Here is a 24,089-nt window from a genome sequence, read left to right on the forward strand (position 1 = left end):
CACCATGCCCAGCCTAGTTTTTGGGTTGTTTTTTTTTTTTCCTATAAGCAATGCCCTGTGGACCTTCTTATACGCGTGTCCCAACGCACATGAGTATGAACTTTGCTCACATCTATACCAAGACAGAGAATGTCAGGGTCACACAGTACACACAGGTTGGCTAGACAGTGCCAAAGTGCTTTCCAAAGAGCTGGGGCTAATTCTTACTCCTGCCAGAAGGATATGGGATGTGCCTTGCCCATCCTCGGTGATGTCTAGGGTTGTCACTCTGGTGGGCAAAGATGCTTGTACTTTCTTTAACCTGCTTTGTCTTTCTTGAGGCTCTGTATTAATTTATTCTCACCTGCTATGAAGAAATACCCAACACTGGGTAATTTACAAAGGAAAGAGGCTTGATTGACTCACAGTTCCGCGTGGCCAGGGAAGCCTCAGGAAACTTACCAATCACGGTGGCAGGAGAGAGAATGAGAGCCGAGCGATGGGGAGAGCCCCTTAGAAAACCATCAGGTCTTGTGAGAACTCACTGACGATGAGAGAAACTGCCCTTATGATTCAACTATCTCCACCTGGTCCCGCCCTTGACACGTGGGGATTATTACAATTCAAGGTGAGATGTGGGTGGGGACACAGAGCCAAGGCTTATCGGGCTCTCAGAGCACAAGAGAAGCCCAGGCCAAATTTCATACTGGAGGTGCCCCATGTATTGGGAATAAAACCCAGAAGAAGAAGAGGAAACAGCAGAGCAGGTTTACTCACTTGGGATTTAATTGAAGTGTTTGTATTAATCAAATTGATGCTTTCACAGGTACACAAATACAATGTAACATGATTTATGCTACTTATAATTACGGGGTTTACATCAAGTGACAGATTCCAGGCCCCAGACACATGGTCTTTCTTTGAGCCCAGCTGTGCACTTCTGTAACTGTTGCACCACTGTGCTGGGAGTGGTGAGGCCCAGGCCCACCCGTGATATGGGGGTGTTTCTGTCTCCTCCCCAGTGGTGCCCTCCTGGAGGATTAAGCTTCATTTTTCTCTGGGACTCTCAGTGCCTGGCCCCCGGGTTGCCCTGGGGGAGTCTGCAGCTGCACCCTCTGGGTCAGGTACCTCCAGCCCCCACAGCCTCTGGACGGCTCACGTCCCAGGCCTTGGGTGCTGCCCTAGGCCTGAGGTCTACAACCTCACAAAGCCGCCCCACCTGGCCCTACCCTGCCCTGACCACTGCAGAGATCTGAGACCAATCTCCTCCAGTGCCTGAATATTTCATGCAGTGAGGGTGGAATGAAAGTCGCAAAGACCTTAATTGTTAATGTGGCTTCTGCTGGCTGCAGGCCCAGCCCTCCCAGCCCCCTCCTGTTTGATACAACAACAGCAGTAACAGTAATTCCTCCTGCACCCCAGGCCTTGTCGTGACCTGCCCTGGGCGAGGCTGGCCTGAAATGAAGTTGTCTGAGGAGCCCCAGCTGGCCAGAGAGAAGTGGTGACTCAAGTAACTATAACAACGAGACCAGGAGGCCCACTGTTCCCCAGTGACAAACTTCTTTTTGTTTTTTAGTTTTTTTTTTTAATAAGCCTTATAATTTTATTTTTGAAACTCCATACATGTGGTTTTTTTTAATTAATTTTTTTTTAGACAGAGTCTCACTCTGTCACCCAGGCTGGAGTGCAGTGGTGCCATCTCGGCTCACCACAGCCTCGACCTCCTGGGCTCAAGCAATTCTCACACCTCGACCTCCTGAATATCTGAGACTACAGGTGCATACCCACATCCCGCTAGTTTTTATACTGTTTGTAGAGGCTGGTCTGGAACTCCTGGGCTCAAGTGATCTGCCACCTCAGCCTACCCAAGTGCTGGAATTATAGGTGTGAGCCACGTTGCCAGGCCTGAATGTGTTTTTAAATTTAAAGTTCCAGGCCGGGCACAGTGGCTCATGCCTGTAATCCCAGCACTTTGGGAGGCCGAGGTGGGCAGATCACTTGAGGTGAGGAGTTCGAGACCAGCCTGGCCAACATGGTAAAATCCCATCTCTACTAAAAATACAAAAAAATTAGCCGGGCGCAGTGGTGCACACCTGTAATCCCAGCTACTCAGGATGCTGAGGCAGGAGAATCACTTGAACCCAGGAGTGGGAGGTTGCAGTGAGCCGAGATCATGCCGTTGCACTACAGCCTGGGCGACAGAGTGAGATTCCATCTCAAAAATAAATAAATAAAATAAAAATAAAATTCCTAGCATAGAGCCTGGGAACTCAGTAAATGTTTGTTGAATGAATGAATGATAAAGAAGGAAGCTGAGTTAAGTTGAAAAACCCTGGATGTAAAATCTGTGTCTCTGGCCTGACCCTTACCAGCAAGGTGGCCTTAGGCAAAGCTGCACTCCCTCTCTGAGCCTCTGGATCAGGACCGGAAAATAGGACCATTTCATCCTCCTTGTAGGATGAGGAGATAGTCAAGTGACAAGAAAAGGAGGCGTGAACCCCAGGCCACACGGTGAGGCGGGAGGGGATGCTCTCCTCGAGAAAGGGCTGAGTCCTGTGGGTGCCCCGGAGCCCAGAGTCTTCCTGAGCGTCTGAAAACTGAACTGAAGAGCCAAGCCTTCTCTCAAGAGTAGCTCGCCCAGCTCAGCCCCAACACCAGGCCACAGAACTCTGCAATGAGGAAGCTCCATCTCAGCACCCTGAACTCACAGAGCCCCTGTGAGCAAATCAGAGCCCAAGAGGCAGCTAGCTGGTCAGGCTCTCGGAGCAAGGGCAGCAGGTCAGCCCTTGGGCTCTCAGCCCCAGCCACCCTTAGAATCACCGGAAAGCATGTGAAATGCAGATGCTCAGGTCCCACCCCAGACCAAGTCCATCAGAATCTTGGGAGACAGTGATTTAGCAGCCAGATCTGCTCTGAGCTACATGAGGCACTTGTTTGTTGGCATCAGGCTGAGCTAGGAGACACTCCCATTGCTGTGGGGTACACCCCTCCCCAAGCATCTGACCTTAGAGATCTTTCTCTAACGTTATCCAGATTCCCCAAATAATCCTCAAATGTGCTACTTCGAATGCATACACCTAGTGACGCTGGAGGGGACGAGGGTTTCCGGAGGCCAGGATAGCGTTCACTTAATGCCCTGATTTTTTTGTCCCGTATCTAATGGGATAAAATGAAAGGAAAGAAAGTAATAAAGATATAAAATCAAAAAATTATCTGGGACTCATGGACACAAGTCTCTCCATAAAAAGGGCCAGAAGAGAAGTGGAAAATAGACCATACTGGGCACATTATTGTAAAACTTCACAACACCAGGGTTGAGAAAATCCTCAAACCATGGTGCGTAGAGTGCGGAGAAAAGGAATCAGAATGATGTTGACATTCTCAACAGCAAGTCCAAAAACTAGAAGGTCATGAAGCGATGTCTCAGCATCCTGAAGGAAAACTATTTTAGTACCAATGCAGTCCAGGGGGAGGGCAGAGTGAGACATTTTCCAATTAAAAAAAAATAGAAAAATTATTTCCCAGACATCCTTTCTCTAAAATTAGGAATTAAACCAAGAAATAAGACATGAAGCCCAGGCACAGTGGCTCACGCCTGTAATCCCAGCACTTTAGGAGCCCAGCCTCCCAGATTGCTTGAGCCCAGGAGTTCAAGACCAGCCTGGGCAACATGAGGAAACCCTATCTCTACAAAAAATTCAAAAATATGGGCTTGGTGGTGCATGCCTGTGCTCCCAGCTACTCAGGAGGCTGAGGTGAGAGGGTTACTAGAGCCCGGGAGGTTGAAACTGCAATGAGCTGTGATTGTGCCACTGCACTCCAGCTTGGGTGGCAGAGTGAGACTCTGTGTCAGAAAGAAAAGAAAAGAAAGGAAGGCAGTTAAAAGAAAAGAAGAAAGAAAGAGAGAGAGAGGAAAGGAAGGAAGAAAGAAAGGAAGAAAGAGAAAGAAAGGAAGAGAGAGAGAGAAAGAAAGAAAAAGAAAGAAGGAAGGAAAGAAAGAAAGAGAAAGAAAGAAAGAAGGAAAGAAAGAGAAAGAAAGAAAGAAAAAAAGACATGAGATTCAGACAACAGAGAAAGGAAGGTCCAGGGTGAGGGCTTTGCAGACAGAAGCAATCAGCGCAGATTTGAAAAGGAGGCTCCCGGAGGAACTGCCCAAGCTCACGGATTCCCTTGGTAGGAGTGCTTGGCTGTTTGGAGAGGAATATTAGAGCTCTGTCGGAGTTTGGTGAAAAGCCCAGAAAAAACCAAGCAAGTCAAAACAAGGAGGCAATTATTAATCCCCAGGGAAACCCAGAAGTTGTACAAGGAAGGAAATCCAATCAGGCCATACCATGGCTCAGCTGGCCATAATGTTTATATAGAGTCACGTGCTGCTCCATCACATTTTAGTCGGGGTCACATACACCACGGTGGGCCTGTCAGATAATATTGTGTTCTTACTGTACCTTTTCTATGTTTAGACACACAAATTCTTGCCATTGTGTTACAGTTCCTACGATATTCAGTACAGGTACATGCTGTACAGATTTGTGAGCCTAGCAGCAATAGGCTAGACCATCTGGCCTGGGTGTGCAGTGGGCTATCCCATCTAGCATTGTATGCTCCATGACAATGATGACAGCAACTAATGACACATTTCCCAGATCATATCCTCGTCATTAAGTGACACGTGACTGTAGCATAATATGTAAACAATACTAATTTAATCAAAAATTATGGTGTAGCATTATTGGGAGGATAGGGGAGGGGATTGGCCTGTGTGGGGAAGGGTAGGGACGTAAGTGGCCCGAAGCCTCCTCATCCGTAAGAGAAAGGCAAGCGAGAGTGTCTCAAGCTGGAGAGTCAATAAAGAACAGTACAAGTGTGTTGTTTCCAAATATAGAGAAAAGTTGCAGAATCAAATATAGAGAAAAGTTGCCTCTGGGAAGTAGGAATTGGGTGGAGAGAGATAAGGCAGGGACTTTTTTGGTTTTTTTAAAAAATAAGCCTTATAGTTTTATGTTTGAAACTCTGTGCATGTGTTTTTAAATTAAAATAATAAAATAAGCCTATTATTGGACCTCTCCTTGCGACAATGGAAGCTAGAGGACCACAGAATGATCAATTGCCTTTAAAATCTGGGGGAAAAGGATTTCCTGCCTGGATTTTATGCCCACAGGAAGGATCAGCCTTGTAAACCTTGCAAAAATGCAAGGCCTCAAAATAAAATTTAAGTTTAAATAGAATATAACGACTGTGCACCTTCTAGGAAGCTTTGGTTGCACATGCTCTCATAGGAGCTGAGAACAACCAGGGAGTGTGCGATCACCCAGGAAGGAGGATCCTTCCTGGGGGGCCGAGAAGTGGCCCCAGAGCAGAAGCTGGGGAGCTTAGGGCACAACGGAGTAGATTACAGACTGTCAGAGCATTTGACAACACTAGCACTAGGTTTAGAGTAGATCAGATGAAAAATTAAGAAGAGACACATAATACCTTGCAAGTTACAAATAAATGCATTCACTCCATGGCACACACAAACAAAACTGTACAAGAAACCGTCATTGACCATTTCCTGACTTTCACGGAATAACATTTACGCGATCATCGTCATAAAACCCTTGACCAGCTGTTAACTAAGAAACGCATAAATCCCTCTAAAGAGGCTGAGGGAGGGGAGGCGGGAGTGGGAGGGTTTCAGAGAGCTGAAGCCTCATCTGTCACCATGAGAAAGCAACAGAAATGTCTAGAATTGAAAAATCAAGAAATAGCAACGTAAACATCTTATGAGAAATGTGGAGACTGCAAAGCCAGAAAGAACAACTAAATGTGGAAACTGGTTGCTCTGGGGAGTGGGGAAAGGGAGGGGAATCGGGGAACCATCTCATTTCCTTGCAAGCATTTTAGTGTTACATGATTGCTTTTACCCTAAGAGCATGCATTGTTTTATTTAAATATCAACATAATTTATTTAAATAGTGATAAAACCTAGCTCTGGGCTGTGGTGCATGAAACAAGTAAGGAGGGCGAGAAATATTCCCTGATGGAAGCCCCCAGACCAGACCATCACCAGCAACACGCCAAGCCCGGGCCTGCCTGCTGGAGAAGGAAGCCTGGTCAGGCCCTCAGTTTCCCCATTCATTTCCAGTTTGCAAAGCACTCTCTGGGCTGTTTCCTCCTCCCATCCTCCCAACAAGCCTGCAAGGTGGGCAGGGATGACTGTGCCCATTTTACTTGCAGAAGCTGGGGCTCGGGTATATGTTTGGGGGTCTGTAGCAGATTTCTCCCATGGCAGATGTGCCAGTGAAGGCAGGCAGAGGACGTGACCAAGAGCAAGGGACAGGCAGTCCCAGCTGGAATTTCAGAGCAGGGAGGCACCTTGCCTGGTCCAGGGGCTCCCAGCAGGGTGGCTACAAACCCTTCCCTTGACTGTACCATCTGTTCTTAGTCACACATCTTGCCCTCAGTGTCTGTCAGAGGGAGTCCTTCACCAAGCAGGTGGGGGTTGCCCTAGAGAGGGGACACCGCTAGCTACCAAAGAGGAAGGGCTGGCACCAACTGGGGCTGCACAAGACTTGGCATCCTGGGAATCCCAGAGCTTTGTCCTGGAAGCCTATGGGAGAGCTGGTCTGGGAAGTGGCCAGGCTGCCTGGCGGACCCATGGAAGGTCCACCCAGGCCTGAGGAACACTGGACTGGTCCGATCCTAGAGAACACTTGGAGATACTGAGCCCCATTAGGAGGGACTCGCCCAAGGAGTGAAATGTCCAGCTCCCCACTGGGCTCCACACTGAGGGCTTCTCTTCGCCTCATGGTTGCCAGGCCTGGCAGGGACATGAGCTTCAGCTTCCAAGTCCCGCTTGTAGCCTGATGTCCCTAAAGTCTACCTCTCCAGCCCTGAACTGTGCGTACAGCCACTGCCTGAGGTCCGCTCTGGGCTCACCCACCCAGCTGAAAACCTAGCGGCATTGGCAGGGCCTCTGCCTGGCTTTTCCTTCTCTCTCAAAGATTCTCTGGAACTCAGCTCAGCTGCTTCCTTCAGGTGCCTCCTCTCCATGGGGCCCCTCCCAATGCCTAGGCCGGTGTGGGCACAGAGCAGGGGCTCAGACACCCCAGGAACACTGCTGGCTTTCAGGGACCCAGGTAGGAAAGGAATGCGAGGGGTGCACATCTGGTGTATGGGGTTGGCCATGTGCACCTTGGAGCTAACTCCTCTCTACAGAGCCCAGAGCAGGGCCTGGCCGGGCAGGAGGAGCATGGAGAAGCCCTGCAGAAACATCGTGCCAGGCCTGGGCACAGCTCTGGGCACTGGGATGTACTCAAAGCAGCCTGTGTAGCCTGGGGACTGGGGAGGGTGAGAGGGAGACAGGAGCTGTGTAATTTGTAATTGGTGGCAGTGCCTCACCGAGCCTCACCATGATCTCACTATCCCTCCCGACACCCCGTGTACTGGCCCTGGTGCTGGGTCCATTTTACAGATGCCGCAACTAAGACTTAGAGTTGGCCGGGCACGGTGGCTCACACCTGTAATCCCAGCTTGGGATCCTCAGCTTGGGAGGCTGAGGCAGGCAGATCACGAGGTCAGGAGTTCGAAACCAGCCTGGCCAACATAGTGAAACCTCGTCTCTACTAAAAATACAAAAAATTAGCCAGGTGTGGTGGCGGGCACCTGTAATCCCAGCTACTTGGGAGGCTGAGGCAGGAGAATTGCTTGAACCCGGGAGGCAGAGGTTGCAGTGGGCCGAGATCGCACTGTTGCACTCTAGCCGGGGTGACAGTGCAAGACTCCATCTCAAAAAAAAAAAAAAAAGACTTAGAGTTTCAATAAATGCATCCTTGAAGCTGCAATGTAAGCAGGGGTTCTCACACCTGCGTGATGATAAGACTCAGTGGGATACTTGCTTGCCCAGGGTCCCCTACCTAGAGATGGAAGTCACCACCTCTGAGTTCTGGAACATGTCTGTTTGCCAGTGTCAGAGTAGGGATCAGGCTGGGATGTCAAAGTTCAGGAAGCCTAGAGTGCTAAGCCAGGACCTCCAAGCCCCCCCGCCCCCCATCCTCCCCATTTGCCCTATGTCACAGCCAGGTGATATTTAGCCCAGCCGTGGTGCGTGGCTGTTCCCGCTGCTGAGCGCCAGTTCTGTTATACAGAACTCCTATGGGGACGTGTTTGTGCACAGCTTTGCTTTCCTGTTGGATTGTTTCCTTGGGGTAAGTTCCCAGAAGTGGGATTCCTGAGTGGAAGGAGGGATATTTTCCCACCCCCAATCCACATCCTTAGCAGAGGCTGGCCCCAGGATGAGGATCCGGCCTTTCTCCGGCTTCAAGGAGGGGCAGCCAGCAATCCCCGCCTGGCACTTCCGGAGGAAAATGACAGACCTTTTCCTTTCCTGTAAGAGCTAATTACCAGCTGGATGATGCGTTCACGGCTGTCAGGGCAATGAGGGCCCAGGTGACTCAATGCCATCTTTCTTGGACCCTCCTGGATTGCTCAGCCAGCCGGTGATGGATTTTTCTCTGTGGAGGTCACAGGAAACAAGAAAAGAGTCCCTCAGCTCCCCAGGGAGTCAGGTCTGTCAGCAGCTTTGGGAGAGGGCAGAAAGGAGGCCTTGAAATCCACTGGGCAGATAATCCCTCTGCCCTTCCAGACAACGAAGGGCTTCTGGCCCCTGGCCTCTCCAACCTGCTGGACAGGAATGGCTGGCTGAGGGTCCAGGAGCCCCTGCCCTGACCTGGGCTTCTTGCAGGGAGTGCCCTCCCCCTTTTTCTCGCTCCCCATCCCAGCATCCCTACATCCAGGTCAGGGTCCCTGGCTGGATCCAGCCTCTGAGGGGCACGAGAAGAGGGGTGTCCAGGCTCCTCCTTAAGGAAGCCCCTTCCTCCCCGCAGGGGGGCTAAGGGCAGACATCAGCCCCTCCCAGCTGTCACCACTCAGGTGGGGGGCGGGTCAGGAGCAGTGAGGGAAAGGGGGACAGGGGCCACTGTGGGAAAGTCACTTGTGGGCAGTGGCCTACCAGCTTTCCACAGGAAGGAGGGGTCTTGGCTTCCCAGGGCTCTGGCTGGCTGCCTGAGCCTAAGGGCCACTCTCCCTCTGCCTGCAGAACGTAGGGGGGCCAGGCCTCTGGGCAGGGCCCATCTCTGGAGCACTCTAGCCCATTTCCCTCTGGGGACACCCTCTGAAGGAGCAGCAGGAGTCAGACCTGGAGGCCGGCCCCGCCACTGCCACCAGCTCACTTCCCCATGAGAGTGCGGATTCTCTGAAGGCAACACTCGGGTCTGCCCTGTCCCAGGCTCAAGGTAGTGAGTTCCCTGTCCCTAGAGGTGAACAAGCTAAGAGAGCATGGCCATCTCACAGAGGTATAGAGGAAGTGCTTGCTGTGAGCACCCACCCTAGGTCACCACCTGACCACGACTTGCCCTGCTCTTTATGTTATGCCCACTTTTTTTTTGAAACAGGGTCTTTTTCTGTCACCCAGACTGGAGTGCAGTGGTGCAATCTCAGCTCACTGTAATCTCAACCTCCCTGGCTCAAACCAACCTCCCACCTCAGCCTCTCAAGTAGCTGGGGCTACAGGCAGGTACCACCATGCCTGGCTAATTTTTGTATTTTTTTGTAGAGATGGGGTCTCACCATGTTGCCCAGGCTAGTCTCAAACTCCTGGGCTCAAGCGATAGTTCATCGCAGGCACAGAAGGCCGCCCTCTGTCCTTACCACCCCACCGCTGCTATTCAGCTGGCGAAGGCCCTCTCTGATCTTGAGGCAGCTGGGATGCCTGTTCCTGGGTGGGACTGGGGGATTTTATGTGGGTTACACCAACCCCAGCTATTGTGAGTGGGCACAGGAGCCTCACAGGCACTGGTGGGTTAGCCCCATCCTGGTGCAGGGGCACTGGCTGACTCCTCCCAAGGATTCTCCCAGGTCAGGACACCCATCCAGGACCCACTGATCACAGATGTTTTTAGAGAACTTCCTGTGGGCAGGCCCAGCAAACAGATCTCTCCATCTCAACCTCAGAGGATTCCCTTTTTTTCTTTTCTTTTCTTTTTTTTTTTTTTTTTTTTTTTTGAGACACAGTCTTGCTCTGTTGCCCAGGCTGGAGTGCAGTGATGCGATCTTGGCTCACTGCAACCTCTACCTCCCAGGTTCAAGCGATTCTCCTGCCTCAGCCTCCCAAGTAGCTGGGACCACAGGTACGTGCCACCATGCCCGGCTAATTTTTTGTATTTTTAGCAGAGACTGGGTTTCACCGTGTTGGCCAGGATAGTCTCGATCTCCTGACCTCGTGATCCGCCCACCTTGGCCTCCCAAAGTGCTGGGATTACAGGCATAAGCCACCGCGCCTGGCCAAAGATTCACTTTTTAAACACAATTCAGGAGGCGGGGGAAAAAGGACCTTGCCATCAACTTGTCAGTTTGTGCAATTGACCTTTTGCTCCTGAAAGCAGGCTATTCTTGTTCTCCCTGTTCAATTCCCTTCTGTTGGTTTCAGTCTCTGGTTCCACCTTCTGAGGTTTCTGGAAATGTGATGTTCTCATGGGACATTGCCTTTGGCACATCTGATAAGCTCTAATGGCTCCATCCAGACTCGATTGAAACAGGTAGGGATGAAGGCAGAGATCTGTGGCCCATCCTTAGAGACCCTCTAACTCTAGATTGCACTGATTTACAGAGTGTCACCCCTGGGGTGCTCTGTCCAGAGAGTCGTGGCCTCCCCTCATTGCCCTGCTCTCCAGCCCACAATTTCCATCCTGCCCAAATGACAGCATGAAGAGCTTGCTCCCCGACAACTGTCATCTGTCACATGGCTGTGTGACACGGTGCTCTCTCTGGCACCGACGCCCTGTCCTTCTTCCTCACCTGAGTGACTTATGCCAGGACATAGCTTTATGAAATTTTTTCCCATGCTCCCCCCAACCTGTCTGGCTCCCACCAAACCCCAGGGTCCCCAGCTATGGTAGCAACATACTGTGCTGGCCGTGTCTGCCTACCTGCTTGGCCACCTTTCCACCAGGGGGGTCCTGAGTTCCCAAAAACCCAGCCCAGGGTGGAGCCCCTGCAGAGGCAGCACTGTGCTGTTGAAAGAGCCCAGGCCTGGGATTGGCCAGGCTTGGGCAAATGGTTAAACTTCTCTGAGCCTCACTTTCCTCGTCTGTAAAATGGGATGGTCACCACATTAAAGGGTGCTAGTGAGGATCACAGGCCAAGAGCATAAAGCACTCAGCATGCTGTGGACTGAACGAATGAGCTTCCATCCCTGTCATCAATTTCAGAGCCTACCTGGGAGTTAAGACAGAGACAGTGCAAAGTGCCATGAACAAGACCCATGTGCTATGGAACTGCCAGGAAGGGCAGCAATTCTGACTGGGGAGCTGGGAAGGTGTCACTGCAGAGACGCGTGTGCTGAGCCTGAAAGGAGGCTCCCATTCCTGCAGGCAGCAGAGCTGGGGAAGAGCACCCTAGGAGGAAAGCCATGCTCACACGTGCTAAGTTCCCCACAGCCCTGCCAGCTCGGGCTTTTATCCTTTTAATGGTGTGTGTGATTTAATAGGGGTGTAACGGTGCCTGGGAGCTGCCTTAGCAGTTTTGAATGCCTATTACCCTTTAAGGCTGGCTCTGAGAAAACCACAATTCCTTAAGGTATGAGTCCACGGAAATCACTCTCCATTAGCATGAGATTATGAAATGAACTCAGCCCAGGAGAATTCTGGTGAGTTTTGGGAAGTGGTGCAGTTGAGATGACAATAGACACTTTTTCTTTTTTTTAAGGCAGAGTCTTGCTCTGTCCCCCAGGCTGGAGTGCAGTGGTATGATCACAGCTCACTGTAGTAGCCTCAACTTCCTGGGCTGTGGTCCTCCCACCTCAGCCTCCCAAGTAGTTGGGACTGCAAGAGTGCACCACCACGCCTGGCTGATTTTTTTGTTTCTTAAAGAGACAGGATCTTGCTATGTTGCCCAGGCTGGTCTCTAAATCCTGGTCTCAAGCAACCCTCCAGCCTCGGCCTCCCAAAGTGCTGGGATTACAGGTGTGAACCACCACACCTGGTCCTGATAGACACTCTTGAAGGAAGAAGAGGCAGAGGCTCCTGCCTGCAGCAGGCAGTGCCAGACTCCCCTCCCGAGCCTGCTGTACCTGTGATTTGAGGAGCTCAGAGAGCTCTTCCTAGCAGCCCCGCCAGTGCCGGCCCAACAAGCTGCCGAGAATTCCATCATCACTCATCCCCCTTCTAGAGACAAGGGACTCTATTAAAACGTAAATATTTTGTCTAGGAGAGGGAACACTCTGCTTTGTTATTGAAGGAAAAGGAAGATGGAAACTTACTTTACTTGAGTACCTACTATGTGCCAAGCATGAAATGGGCACCTCTCACATTGCCTTTGAGCCCACAAGGCAGCCAGGCCAGACAGGGGAGCTACTCATCCCTTCAGGTGAGAGAATGGAAACTCAGAAGGGCCCGAGGCTTGCCAAGAGCTTGGCAGACCAGGATGGGAACCAGAGCTGACTCTCCACCCTCGCTTCGGCCACAGCACTCAGCCACTTCTCCTCTTCCCTGGCTGTGGCTCCCTGGAGCATGGGATGAGATAAAGCAGAGTTTGGGGGCACTCGGGCCTGGGTTCAGGAGCAGACCTGCTGCCAATCAGCTCTGTGGCCTGAGCAGTCTCATCTCGGGTGTGTCTTCATCTGTGGATGGGTCAGCAGCAGCACTGACCCCACAGGGTTATGGTGGGGACAGAAGGAGCTGTGAAGTCCACGACACAGGACCTGGGCCAGGGCTCAGGAAGGGGCAAGACTGTGTTGTCTTCTTACCAACTCCCATATGGTCGGGCATTTACAGCCCCAGCTCCCAACCTAGGCACACCCCACCTCTTCTCCGACCTTGACAGCAGCAGGAGTGGGATCCAGCTCCCTGTGCCCCACATCTCCATCCTGGGATCTGAGGATCTGAGGCAGAGCAGGCAGCAGCCCAAGCAGTTGGCCTGCCAGTGAGTGTGAGTTTGTTCTTGGGGCCGGGCAGCCTCTGCAGGCCACCAACGCCTTCTGCCTCCTCCCCGCACCACTCCCAGCAACTGTGATTCTCTACTCTCTTTTCCCCAGGAACCTACTTCAGGGAACCATACAGAGGCCAAATTCAGAATCCCTACTTGAACCGCTGACCTTTTGCCCTCTCCAAGGCCGGAAGCAAGCCCTTGCCTGATGCACGCCTCAGTCGCCCCGTCTGTAAAGTGGGCAGCCCATCAAATTCACATCTCCCTGGCTGAGAGTCATCTGGAGAAATAATGACTATGTGACCTAATGAAAATTGCACGGTGCCTGCCGAGCGAGGTGGGTAAGCCACTGGCCCAACGCTGTCATTACAGGAGGTGAAGCAGCGCGTGGGCTGATGACTGGCAAGGGGTGCAGCCGCAGGAACCTTTCATCATGGGTTCCCTTGGGAGGCCAGGTAGGTCAGCTCTGAAAGCACCCGGTGCTGCGGGGCCTGCCTTCCTGTGGCTTCGGCTTGGGCGCCATCCCAAGCCGGGTTGGCCAGAACTCTGCCTGTGCAGCCCCGCCCCCAGGCAAGCAGGAAACAATGCACCTGAGCAACCTCCTCCCATCTGCAGAGGAGGAAGCTAAGGTGTAGGGGGGTCAAGGCACTGGCCTAAGGTCCCACAGCCAAGGGGTGGCTGGGAGGTGCAATCAGGTCTGCCTGGCACAGAGTCTGGTCTCCTGACCACGATGCCAAACTGGTTATTATTGTCACCACAATAGAATACTAATAATAGTTGTCGTAATTATTATTATTGTGGAGGGCTGTTCTCCAGGCAGGCAGGTCTGGGTTGCTGCGTCACTGGGGCCAGGAGGCTGGCTAGTGCCCACAATGAGGCAGGGTCCTGTCCCAAACAGCACTAGGAGAATGCTGGAGATGGGAGGCTGAGCCCATCCTGCAGCCTGGGTCAGCAGCCTGGGGCCTCACCCCCACCCTCCATCCAATGCTGGGTGGCGGGCAGCCTCTCCAATGCCCATCTGCCCTGGAGGGCTCTGGTGATGGATACAGTGGAGATTCGTTGATATGAACATTAAACATTCAACCAGAGGCACTCACTGCTTTAATAAAACACAGCCCCCCATGCCAGCCAAGAACCCTGAGTTTCAAAGGTTCCTGCTCTTGCTGGTTAAAGTCTCCTGCATGGACCCTGGGCCTAGGCTGCCAGAGCCCAAAGCCTGGTGCTTGTGCCCACTCCTCGTGTGACCTTTGGCAAGACTCCCCACAAGTTGTTCTGTTTCCCCATCTGCATAACAGTGCAAAATTCAAAGTCGTTGTGAGGATGAAGTGAGCTAGCCCTGTGTCTGGCCCACATCCACACTAGATGAATGCCTGCATTGCTACCCCGTCAGGTGGGTGCAGCCAGAGGATCGGGCGGCCTGATGCTGGAGGAGTCACCGAGAGATGACTGTAGACTGACTTTGACGCTATGAGAATGGGTGGCCTCTCATGATGTAGTCAACGTGTGGCTGCTGTGGCTGTGACATTCCTGTGACCCCAGCAGGCATCTGCTCTGGGCTGGTGAAACCAGAATGCTTGCTGGCCATGGGGATACAGGTGTGTGTGGGTGTAGCGGGGTGTGTGTGTGTGTGTGTGTGTGTATGCATGTGTGATCCTCGGGGCTCTGAGACTGCAGGGAGCCTGCAAAACATGTTCCCAGCTTCCCTGCTCCCATCAGGATTCCAGCTGGATCTTGTTCTGCTCTGTCCTGCCAGCCCGGACTGTGGGAAAGATGTGGAAACTGCTCCGGACCCATTCCTGGCCTGCAGGACACGGCCCATCCAGCTACCTCCACTCTGGGCTTGGAGGTCAACGCCAAAGCCTGGAGGTCAGGGAGTCCAGTGCCTCTGTCAGCCCCAAGCTGGCCCTGTGAGCTCCCAACAGGATGGGTGCCCAGACTGCAGTTTGCCTGAAAGGGATGGCTCTGTAGACACAGGCCTGAGAAGGGCTGGGGTAATTTCTTTCTGCTCTCTGAGGCAGTATTCTAGGTCCTGGGGATCTGGGCATGGCCAGGATTCCTCTCTCCCTGATGTGTGCCCTGCATACTCTATGCCTAGGTGACACAACACAGGGCTCAGGGTCTAGCAGTGCCCAGCTCAGGTCTTCTGAAAGCTGGGCCTGCAGGCTCCTCTGCGCTCCCCTCTCCTGGCTCCCCGAATCTGTTCCTCCCCCCTCGAAGCATCCCAGCCACCCTGCAGAGCCTGATGCAGGGCTTATCCCTTGGGGAATATTGGGGCAGTGAGGGAGAGAGTAATATGTCACTGAATGGCTCAGGACAGGGGGAGCACCAGGGACTGTGTGTGACATGGAGTTAGTGCTCACCAAGACACTTGAGCCTGAGTCTGTCAGAGCCCAGAGCCAGAGCTCTCACTCATAATGCCACACCACCCCTTTCACCCATCCATCTATCCAGCTATCCATCCGTCCATCCATCCATCCACCCACCTACCCATCCATCCATCCACCTATCTGTCCCTGTATCCATTCATCTACTCTTCTATCTTCCCATCCATCCATCCATCCATCCATCCATCCATCCATCCATCCACTCACCCACCTACCTACCCATTCATCTATCCACCTATCTGTTCATCTATTCATCCATCTACTCTTCCATCTTCCCATCCATCTATCCATCCATCTGCCCATCCATCCATCCATCCATCCATCCATCCATCCGTCCATCCAACCATCCATCCATCTGTCCATTCATCTGCCCATCTACCTGCCCATCCATCTGTCCATCTATCCATCCATCCTTGTCTACATTTCTTCATTCAGTTCCCATCTCCTAAGCCCCTAGTGGTGCCACATTCTGTGCCAGGTGCCAGGGTGCCAGGGATGAATGAGGAGAGGTCATGATACTCATTCAGGCCGGAGAGACAAGTCTGGGCATTGTTTCAGTGGAGGATGGGGTAACAAGTGCTCTGGAAGGTCAGCCCAGGAAGCTGGGGCAACTGCAAGAGGCAGGAAAGTGTTGCTGAAGTCCAGGTAAGCTGGGCTTGGCCGGAGAACACACTGAGTTGCGGGGAGCACTGGAACAGGCCTTAAGAGCTGGAAAGGAAGTCACCAGGCAAAAAGGGGGACTGTCCAAGGCAGCCCAGACAGAGGCAGCAGGACACACAAATGCAGGATGAGAAAGGAACATTTGGAGATGACAAGTGGACAGAGCAGAGTCAGTGAGGTCAGGATGGGCTGGGAGGAGAAGAAGGCAGGAAAGGCCCCCGAGGAGGAAGGGCTGGAATGCATGGCCAACAATCTGCACCTGATTCTTTAGGCAGTGGGAGGGGCGGCTGTTAGGCAGGGAAGATGCATGATCAGTTTGGCAGTCCTAGAGGGGGATGGATTGGAGGGGGCAGGCCATGAGGGACTGCTGTGATGGGCTAGACGACCAGTGCTGGTGGGAGGACCGAGGCCCAGAGAGAGGTGAGACCTGCCAAGGTCCTAAAGTGAGTGCTCCCCAGGCAGGCAGGAGCCCAGGTCCCCAGGTAGCATGGCAAAGGGCCCAGATGCTGAGGCCATGGGACTGGATGGGGCAGGTGTGCTGTGGCTTTGTGTGGGGGCAGTCTCTTCCTTTCTGTCCTCTCTAAATGAAAACAACACCAACAGCCGGGGGCGGTGGCTCACGCCTGTCATCCCAGCTCTTTGTGAAGCCGAGACGGGTGAATCACCTGAGGTCAGGAGTTCGAGACCAGCCTGGCCAACAGGATGAAACCCCGTCTCTACTAAAAATACAAAAAATTAGCCAGGCCTGGTGGCGGGCATCTGTAATCCCAGCTACTTGGGAGGCTGAGGCAGGAGCATCACTTGAACCCAAGAGGCAGAGGTTGCAGTGAGTTGAGATCATGTCATTGCACCCGAGCCTGGGCAACAAGAGTGAAACTCCAACTCAAAAAAAAAAAAAAAGAAAAAAAGAAAAAAAAAGAAAACAACACCAACAAAGTTTGGTAAGCATGTATTTTCTTTCCTTTTCTGGGGAGGTAAGTGGGGGTCACAGGTGACCCCAGCTTCTTGTTCCCAAACCCCTGGACCCCTCCCCTCCTGAATGCTGGAGGTTGCACAGTCCAGTGGGTCCCTTCTAGCTTCCTGTGTGGCCTCAGCTCTCTTCCCCTCTCGGGCCTCAGTTTCCCTGTGGCTTCATAGAGCTAGCCATACCTGCTCTGCCCACTGTGAAGGGTGGCAGGAGGATGGAAGACGAGGTAGTGCTTCTGGAAATTCGAGATGCCAAGTCCAAGCCTAGGTGCCTCCCTGCCTCCGAGGAGCCTCCCCTGATGTCCTGGTCACCGCGGCGCTGTGCTGTGGCCACCAGCAAGACCGGCGGCACCAAGGGGCCCCCTAGCGGCCCGAGGAGTTGCTGCAGCCACCTGGGCCCAGCATGTCCTTCCCAGACACCCGCGGATGTAGGACCTTTCTTGGGGACCCAGATCACGTGCCAGGCACTGCGCTGGGTGCCAGGCCAGGGAAACACCATCTCCTGGCAGCCCTGTGAGGTGGGCCTTTCCCCACCTTATACCTGTGCACACCTCCAGGGGACTGTTTCATATCATCAGGCTGCTGGACAGCCACAGGCTGGACTATGCCGCTGAAAATCAGTGAAATAAACAAGAGGCAGAACATACATAAAAAAAACATGAATATGTATTTATCTTAAAAATAAAGACTGAGTCTGCTGGCACAGGCATGGGCTCTCTCTGGAAGATTACATAAGAGACTGGCATCACGCAGGGTTTTCTGGAAGGCTACCTGGGAGGCGGGGGCAGGGGCGTAGGCACAGGGTAGGAGGGACCCGTGTTCACTGAATTTCGTTTTAGACTTCCTGATTTTTTTTTTTAATGGAGTCTCTGTCGCCCAGGCTGGAGTGCAGTGGCACAATCTTGGCTCACTGCAACCTCCACCTCCTGGGTTCAAGTGATTCTCCTGCCTCAGCCTCCCAAGTAGCTGGGATTACAGGTGCGTGCCACCACGCCCGGCTAATTTTTTTTTTTGTATTTTAGTACAGACAAGGTTTCACCATGTTGGCCAGGCTGGTCTCGAACTCTTGACCTCAGGTGATCTGCCCGCCTCAGCCTCCCGAAGTGCTGGGATTACAGGCGTAAGCCACCGCGCCCAGCCCTTTCTGATTTTTGAACTATATAGAAGTATTGTCTATACTTAAAAATACACTAAAGATTTAAGAAGTCATAGACTCATAGGCTCAGGGACAGAAAGCAGCCTGAAAGTGTTCTCATTTTCCCTTCAGTTACAGCAGAACTGACAGGAGGCCGCTTGACAACTATTTACTTGCCTGCCTCCAGTGATGGGGTGCTCATCCCTTAAGTGGCCAATTCCCAGTGTAGAAAAACTCTCTCTCTATGAGTGGAGATGCATTGCCCTGGTTTCTACCCACTTCCTCAGATAACCATGTGGGAGTCTGTAGGAAAGCTAGTATTGGCTGAGCCTCCACTGTGTGCCAGTCAGTGGCTATGGATTCAGCCCCGGAGGAGCTCAGAATCCAATTTCTGGGATCTCAGCATTGGGCAGGGCACTGAGGCCATTTGGTAGAAGCTGCAGCCAATGCAGGACCTGCCCCATCGCACACCGGGCAGGCGGTGGTTAATAACAAGGGAGAGGAAGCCCCTGGTCCATCTGCAGTCCCTGTCATTCCATCGCGTTTCATCATCTGACTCCGCCTCCTCTGTCAGCCTTTACAGAAAGGCCTTGGCCTCCAAGGTGTGGTACTCACACCCTTACACTGGGTGCTCTCATTGGCTGCATCTGACTGGGCCTCAGCCAGCCTAGATTCCAGCTCAGCATCCCTGAGCCTCAGTTTTCTCATCTATAAGATGGGGGTTAATAACAGTACTCACCCAGGAAGCGGCTAGGAGGAGCAAGTGGGACGATGGTGATAGGCATTGTGGGGTGTGGAGGGAGCCCAAGAGGTGACGGAGGGGAAGGGTCCACCGCCGAAGGCCGCTGCCAGCACATAGCATGTGGGTCTCAGGAACAGGACATGCGGCCTCCCGGTCACACAGACTCTGTTAGTTTGCTAGGGCTGCTACGCCTGCAGACTTTGATTCCCTTGCCATTCTGGAGGTTGGAAGTCCGAGATCGAGGTGTCTGCAGCAGCCTTCCTTCTGAGGCTACAAAGTCGATATTCTGTCCCCTGTCTCTCTCCTGGCCTATGGGGGCTGCTGGCAATCCTGGTGTTCCTGGGCTTGTGGAAGCATCACTGGATCTCCGCTTTCCCCTGCATGTGGCCTTCTCCCTGCACGCATGTCCTCTGTCCAAATGTCCCCTTCTGATAAGACCCCAAATCCTACTGGATAAGGATGCACTCTAATGACCTCAGCTTCACTAATTCCATCTGCAGTGGCTCCATTTTCTTTCTTTCTTTCTTTCTTTCTTTCTTTCTTTCTTTCTTTCTTTCTTTCTTTCTTTCTCTCTCTTTCTTTCTTTCTTTTTTTTTTTGACAGAGTCTTGCTGTGTCACCCAGGCTGGAGTGCAGTCAACCTCTGCCTCCTGGATTCAAGGAATTCTCCTACCTCAGCCCCCAGAGTAGCTGGATTACAGGCATGTGCCACCATACCCGGCTAAGTTTTGTATTTTTGCCAGGCTGGTCTTGAACTCCTGACCTCAGGTAATCTGCCCACCTCAGCCTCCCAAAGTGCTGGGATTACAGGCGTGAGCCACCGCGCCCGGCCTGGTTCCATTTTCAAATACGGTCACCTTCTGGGGTACTGGAGTTAGGGCTTCCACATATGAACTTGGGGGAGACACAGTTCAGCCCGTAACTGATCCCCTACAGTCCTGGCCCCAACACCACTCAGACATGGGAGTCACTTTTGCTTTCTGGGCCTCATTTCCTTGTGTGGACACTGGGTACACACACGTGGGGTTGGACTAGGCATGATCTGAGGGTCCTTTCTGCTCAGAATTTATAGGGACCCTCTGTGACTTCTGGCTCTTGAGATGGAGTCTCGCTCTATCACCTAGGCTAGAGTGCAGTGGTGCAATCTCTGGTCACTGCAACCTTTGCTTCCTGGTTCAAGCAATTCTCCTGCCTCAGCCTCCTGAGTAGCTGGGATTACATGTGTGCGCCACCATGCCCAGCCTTCAACTCTGCCCTATCCCGCCCTCAACTCTGCCTTCCCTATGGTCCAGAGAGATCGCTCCTGCCGTGGGCCTTGACTGTCCTACTGGCCAAAGTGCCCTGGAGCCCCTCCTTTGGCTCTAAGCCCATGCCCCAGACATCCTGGGATGAGGGGTGGGGCTCTAAGCAGAAGGCCAGCCCAGGAGGATTCCCTTGGGATGGGGGCCTGGGACAGAGCCTGGGAGCGAGGCTGGGAGTGGACATGGGGCAGGGCCAGTGGGGGTGAGACCAGCAACACCACTAGCATCTGGCCCATCTACCAGGCACAGCCTGACCTATGTTTTAGGTCTTGCACTAGAGTCTCTGTCATCCGTCTGCAACTGCTGACCCCAGGTAGAGGCAGGCAGAAAGAACAGGAGTAGCTTTGCACACAGGTGCAGGTGCCTGTGTGTTTGAGAATCCCGAACTCTTGCATTGGGGTAGATCTTAAACATTATCCAGGCCCTAGCAGGAATCTTCTTACCTGCACTCTCAGAGGTATCTTTGCAGCCTCTACTGACTTACCTCTGAGGACAGGGAGCTCACTCCCTCTGGGGGAAACCCAATCCCTGTTCATTAGACTGAACTGAAACCCTGTTTCTGTGGGCCCCAGTTCCATTCTCTGGGCTTCACAGGGCAGGGCTGCTTCCTCCTCTCCGCTGAGAACATCCAGTCCTCATCCCATCCCATCCCACATCTCCTCCTACCTCTAAATAGGCTCCCATTTGACCTTATCACCAAGTGGTTCTGAGTAGCCAAGCTCTGAGCAGGCTATCACTTCCCTTTTTCTGAGTGTTAGATCTCTATTAATGCAGCCAGGACCACAGTGGCGTTTGGGTGACTGCATCACCCCCAACTCTTCTCGGACTTGCTCACAGGTGTTGCTCCAAGACCTGCCTCCTGCGCTGTGCTGTACAGGCAAGCGTTAAGACTGAAGTCTCTCCCTTTGTGTCTGCATCGTGGTGCACTGGCCATCACCTCAGCCTATCACGTCCTTTGGAGGCCTAAGTCAGTCATGCGATTTCTTCTCTTGCCAGCCTCAGGCTATTTCAAACCCACATTATGGATAAATTGGTGTGTGTGTGAGAGAGAGAGAGAGAGAAACAGAGAGATAGACTATTTGCATGTATGGATGGGGGAGTGAGGAGGGGATAGAGGGAGGGTCCTATCTGAGGCCTCATGGAGCTGAGACTCAGACCCATCTGGGCGAGTCTGGCCAAGTGGTGAGTGGGTGGGCTGGGTGGGTGGATTCATGTGAGAGACAGAGGCGCCTCCCAGGGACAGGAGAGACACACAGGAAGGCGAGAAGCCCAGCATACTGGGGAAGGCAGCTGCCATTCAAACTACTCCTCAATCAGCCCCAACTGAGACATGGCTGAAGCTAGGCTGGGGGAAAGGTGGATCCTGACAGAGCCACCCCAGGGAACCCCTGCAAGACCCTGCAGCCCAGAAGGTCACCCCCAGGGGAGGGTGCGCCAACCCCTGCACACCTTTGCCTTTCTGCCTTGTGGTTTCAGCTGCAGCCTCGGGGAAGCCAGGTTGACAGGCACTGTGGGGACACCCAGGAGAGAGTCTGTGATGCCTGGCAGACCCCCACAGAGGAACTGAGCAGAGCTGTTTGTGACACATGCCTCCCTGGGGACCCCAGAGCCATGTCACAGCCCATGGAGTGTGGGCCCCTGTGGCTTGAGACCTGCAGAGTTGGGAGGGATGAGCCAGGTCTGGGCCCAGCTAGGGGCCGTGAAGCTGGGATGAGGGTGCAAATCACAATTGGATTTGCACTGCGGAGGGGTCCTGGGCAGGGGAGCCACAGGCTTAGATGAGACTGGGAAATGTTCGAAATTGGGTTTAACTATCCCGCTTACTAAATCTGGGGCTATCAGGAGGAGGGACTCAGGACCCCGCCCTCCCTTACAGGGGCCACTGTCCTTGCTGGGGCTGGAGCAGGAGAGCAGGCAGCCTCCGCCTTCCCCATCTGTAACATGGCAGCCTGTTTTCCAGCTCTGATGTCCAGGTGCTAGGATTGTCGCCTGGAATTTGGGGTTTAAAACAGGCATTCTGATAGCTTTCAGTTGGCATTGCCCTCTCTCCCCCGTGTCCGGGACAGGATCAGAAGGCCCCTGGTGTGTGAGAAAAGCACTGAGTGTGAAGTCAGGGCCTGTCTCCATGCAGGGCTGTAGCCCAGGGACACGTGGAAGCCTGGCGGGGCAGGAGCAAAGCTGCCGTTCAGTCCTCACCAGACTCGGTGGTGAGGAAAGGGAGGCTGCAGAGCGTTTCTGCAGAGGCGCGAGCACTCACAGTTGGCACTGGAAAATCTCCCAGCCGAGGTCCCCCTGGAGACCTGAGCTCAGAGTGTGTAGACATGTCTCCCTCAGGGCTTCTGAGCAGCGAGAGAGGGCACGTATGTGTCTGTGCAAGTGTGTGCACTTCTATTGAGGCTGGGGCTGGAGATGCCTGGGGCCTGGGGTGGCATCTGTCAGCCCCCACACTGGGGGGTCCTTTCCATTATATTTTCCATTTAACTCTTCTCCACCCAGATGAGGAAGTCCCCCGTGACGGCTCTCATTTAGTTGTAGAGCTAGAAGTGTTCACAGGTGTGCTGGGGAAAATAAGTCTTACTCGAGCAAATAAATGAACCGGGCTTTGGCTGCGGGACTTCTCAGAGCATGCAGAGTTGTTTCTTGAATCTCTGAGAGGGACTTAGAATGTGGCATTTCCCATACTTCTCTAACTACAGCACCCTAAGCAGCCCCAGCTCCTGGGAAGAGCACTGAGAAACCATATTTTACAGGACAGAGCATGGGAAGTGTTAGAATGTTTGAAATCGGCATCTCCCAGAACAGCTGGGCCACACGGTTGTGGTGCAGATAAGGAAACGGGCTCAGCCAGGGCCTTCTCTAGGGTCACGCAGTAAGTTAGAAAGATGGTGGATTTGGCCCCAGGACCATCTAGCTGGGGGAACGTGGTCAGGCAGCGATGGCAAGTCAGGGGAGGAAGGCAGGCCGAGAGCCAGGCTGGCAGTCCGCAGCGGGAGTGCTGTTGTTTTTCATTGGTTTCTTTTTGTTGATGAATTGATTTTCAAACTTCCTCTGACAGGAAACTTCAAACACACACAGACTGGAGGGCAGTGTAATGAGCCCCCCATCTCCTTCACCCACGCCGCCTGTCAGCAACGTGAGGTTGGTCTTGTGTCCCTACCCCCAGTCACTACCTCCCCTCCGAGGGGCAAGTTTGAAGCAAATCCCCATTGGCGGTCTTCAGTGGTGACCCAGAAAGGATCTAGTGGGTTTGGGGTGGGGGCAGGGGAGGGACACTCAACGAGCTGGAGGTAGAGTTGGGGTCTGCAGGGGTGGAGGTCCCAGGGAGGAAGTATCCCTGAGGCCCCGATAGGACAGCCCCAGGGAAATACTGGCTGCCGGACAGTTGGGGCGTCCAGGGAACATGGAGAGCCAGGGCCCTCCGCCTGCCGTCCTGAGTGGGACTTAGGGGCAAAGCAGTTGAAGAGTTTGGACAGGTGGGGTGCTTCCTGGGAAATAATCTCACAGTGTAGGGAGTGCCCTGTCCCTGCCCCTGCTGTGAAGAATCTAGTGGCTTTGGACTGAGAAGCCGGGGAATCAGATGCGGGGTGGGGGTGGCAGGGAAAAACTTCCAGGAAAGGAAAGTGACCCTCAGAGCATCCACAGGAAAGTGGGGCTGGGCCTTTTCCTCCCTGGGCCTCAGTTTCCCTGCTTGGGCCGTCAGGGGTTAGACTCTGGGGTCTCCTCCTCTGAAGGCATCATTAGTTCTGTGGTTAGCAAGAGTCAGGCTCCCCTTTCACCCTCCCCAATCTTCCCTGCAGTGGTGAGCCCATCTCATTCATTCATTCATTCATTCATTTCCTACTTGCAAGAGGCTGCACGCAGGCCCACAGACACAAGGCAGTCCAGGCCCTGCAGCTCAGGAGGGACATGGGGAGACAGAGAGAGCTACCTGCTAGGGTTGATCAGCATCACCAGCCTCTGGAG

The 24,089-nt window shown here is 53.1% G+C and overlaps 1 protein-coding gene across 3 annotated transcripts in view, besides 2 other annotated features; it reads left to right on the forward strand.

Annotated features, from left to right (window-relative positions):
* The window catches only part of HHIPL1 (HHIP like 1), a 76,032-nt gene that overhangs the window by 7,176 nt on the left and 44,767 nt on the right, over positions 1-24,089 (forward strand). For 2 of the 3 annotated variants that reach the window (XM_011537236.3, NM_001329411.2), the window contains exon 2: positions 13,049-13,394. In XM_011537236.3, the coding sequence (XP_011535538.1) occupies positions 13,335-13,394 (60 nt within the window). In that variant the 5' untranslated portion in view covers positions 13,049-13,334. The remainder of the gene's footprint in view (positions 1-13,048; positions 13,395-24,089) is intronic. The other variant, XM_006720277.4, reaches the window with a different exon arrangement.
* Positions 12,316-13,018: an enhancer, noted in NCBI's record as "H3K4me1 hESC enhancer chr14:100090366-100091068 (GRCh37/hg19 assembly coordinates)". NCBI's record gives its function as "activates a minimal SCP1, AML or CMV promoter by ChIP-STARR-seq in naive H9 embryonic stem cells {active_cell/tissue: H9 hESC(naive)}" and the evidence as "EXISTENCE:reporter gene assay evidence [ECO:0000049][PMID:30033119]".
* Positions 17,184-17,233: an enhancer, noted in NCBI's record as "active region_9005". NCBI's record gives its function as "activates an Ori minimal core promoter by ATAC-STARR-seq in GM12878 lymphoblastoid cells {active_cell/tissue: GM12878}" and the evidence as "EXISTENCE:reporter gene assay evidence [ECO:0000049][PMID:35858748]".

Source organism: Homo sapiens, chromosome 14 (assembly GCF_000001405.40).
Source record: "Homo sapiens chromosome 14, GRCh38.p14 Primary Assembly".
In the NCBI taxonomy this organism is placed as follows: Eukaryota; Metazoa; Chordata; class Mammalia; order Primates; family Hominidae; genus Homo; species Homo sapiens.